The 2,566-nt window shown below is 30.6% G+C and overlaps 1 annotated feature.

The window, feature by feature from the left end:
* Positions 1,043-2,242: an enhancer, noted in NCBI's record as "MED14-independent group 3 enhancer chr17:51693716-51694915 (GRCh37/hg19 assembly coordinates)". NCBI's record gives its function as "activates an origin of replication core promoter dependent on BRD2, BRD4, P300/CBP and CDK7 cofactors, and independent of MED14, by STARR-seq in HCT116 cells {active_cell/tissue: HCT116}" and the evidence as "EXISTENCE:reporter gene assay evidence [ECO:0000049][PMID:35650434]".

Consider the following 2,566-nt stretch of genomic DNA (forward strand, 5'->3'; position numbering starts at 1 on the left):
TATGAAGCAGAATCTGAAATAATTATTGATCAGGGAAATATTCATCATAGTAATTTCAACGTACTTCACAGCATTTGAGAATGTAAATTATTCCATTTCATTATGAAATTATACAATCCAATCAATAATATATAGAGATTTCTCATTTGCTGGTAAAACCTTAAACATAATGAGACATTTTTTAAATGGAACCAGAAGAGGCATTTAAATGGCAAATGTCATTTTCGTTATTCCCCTCCTACAGGATTGACTTAAGTCAATTTACATAGATCATTATTGATTCTAGTTCCACAAAATGGGAATGAACAAATTATATCTGACATATTTTAAAGTCCACAAAATGCCAATATTTTTTCTCCCCTATATAACCTTAATCTGTTCGAATGCAAGAATGTTTTGTTTCGGTCTACATTAGACACTTCAAATTAAGTTACAATCAATATTATTATATAAAAATCCAGGGTAAAAATGTATTTTCAAGCCTCAACTTAGGACTGGCTAATAATAACAATATGGGTTATATTAATATTCTACCCCAAGCAATACATAAACAATTTATCAGAGTTCTTTGGAAATTCCTCATAGCACTGTCTAGAGGTAATCATTATTTATATTTTTATTATGTATTCTTCCAGAGCTTTCCCTATTCTGTATTTGGTTTTCATACATTTTGTAGAATGTATACTACTGTGTTTATTGCTTAAATTTGTTTATAGCAGTGGTGCTAAAACTCAATATGTATACATTGTTACAAAATAATAAACCTATTAAAAAGCCTATTAAAAGAGCATATCTCTTTGAGCTTTACACCTGCTCAGCTACTCATTCTCATCCAACCCAAAGATACTGATTCTACAGAAGTAGGATGGAGGCTAGGAACATAAATTTTAAAAATAAAACTTAATATAGCTCTGGGGAAAGTAGATTGTAGTATTAAAAAACACAGGCCTATAATTTCTTTTTTGTGTTAATCTTATGAGGAGAGTGCATCAAGATTATCCTAGTTTGTGATGATACTTTGTTAAGAGATTCATCTTTTTCAGAATTTGAAAGAATCTCAGTGATGGAAAATATCTGCTTTATAGAGCTTTCAGAGGAAATCAGCATTATTTGGAGACTTTTGAAGGGCATGAATAATTTACTAACTTTTCAATTCCTTCCACAATTATGATTGTATCCGTGTTTTCTATCTTCCCTTAGACAATTTTTATAGCTAATGTTTTTCTAGAAAATTGACCATTATATTATAAAATGTGTTGGGAATGAAGTTTTTGGTGTTGCAAAAAAAAGAATTAACGCTGGAACAAATGATCTCTCAGCAAGGCGAGCTTTACTTTCTGCAGAAAGGGTGCTACTCAATAGCTGTCCAGCCACGAGAGCACGCTGAACAAAGAAGACAGTTATTTATATAACGCATATGTATTTTTGCATCTACCCTACTGCTGTGTCCGGTTCCGGTTGGCTGGAATAGGACCTCACATTTCACATTTTACCCAATTGGCTATTAGTTTAAAACTTTCTTAATTAGGTAAGGGGAATAGAACAAAGAAAGGAAAGGAAGTTGCCCAAGGATAGTTAAGGAAGCATCTCCAAATAAGGAATGGCATGCACTATGGGCTGGGGCTTGTCTAGTTCTGTCCAGGCATGCCAGAGCAAGCTAGGACAGCTGGTTTGGAATACATAAATGTGTATATATATATATATGTATATACACACACACACACACATACTAATAGTGGATAACAATCTTATAGTAAGAAATTGTGACTTTTTATAATCTTTGAATAGGAACTTTCCCATTTCTCACAAATGTATTTGTGTTTGTGACATGGAGGACATATTCAATTAGAACAACTCCAGCTTTTATCTTTGTCTCTTCTTCTTCCTTTTGTTTATTGCTCTCTATGCTTAGCTTCTTCAATTTCATACTTAATTTTTATTTGACATTTCTTTTATAGGTTAATATCTCCTAAACATAGGCATAGTTTAACTCTGTTTTGATTTAGATATAGTTTGATGTCTTTCAATAATGCTTTTTTTTTCTTTTTTCTCTTTAGACCTCATTTGCTATCTTTTATTTTTAGTTTTCATATAGATTTCATTGCTAACATCAATAGAATCATTTCTTATTTTATTGTTAAATCTTTATTTTTATTATACTGTGAGAATTTGGATTTTTACATACCTATATTTATGTTAGTATTTTGGTTTTGTACCTAGTAACTTAGCTGAATTCTTGTTAATTCCAGTGGTCTGCTGAGGTTCTCGGATTTTTTTTTTTATGCAGACAATGATACCATCGAAAAATGATTATATCTTTTTTTTTCAAGTTTTATTTTTCTCATTTTATACTTTCTTATTATTGTTTTATCCTGGCTAAATCCTCCAGTACAATGCTAGAAAACAGAAGTGATGAAAGCCAGCAATTTTATCAGGTATCACTAATGGTAAACTTCTAAAGTCTCACTATTAATATTGTATTTGTTGTAATATTTTTTACAAAAAAATAAGATGGGGTTTTTTTTGAAATGCCTTTATAAAATAAGAATCACCTATTCCATGAAGT

This window comes from Homo sapiens, chromosome 17 (assembly GCF_000001405.40).
Source record: "Homo sapiens chromosome 17, GRCh38.p14 Primary Assembly".
Classification (NCBI taxonomy): domain Eukaryota; kingdom Metazoa; phylum Chordata; class Mammalia; order Primates; family Hominidae; genus Homo; species Homo sapiens.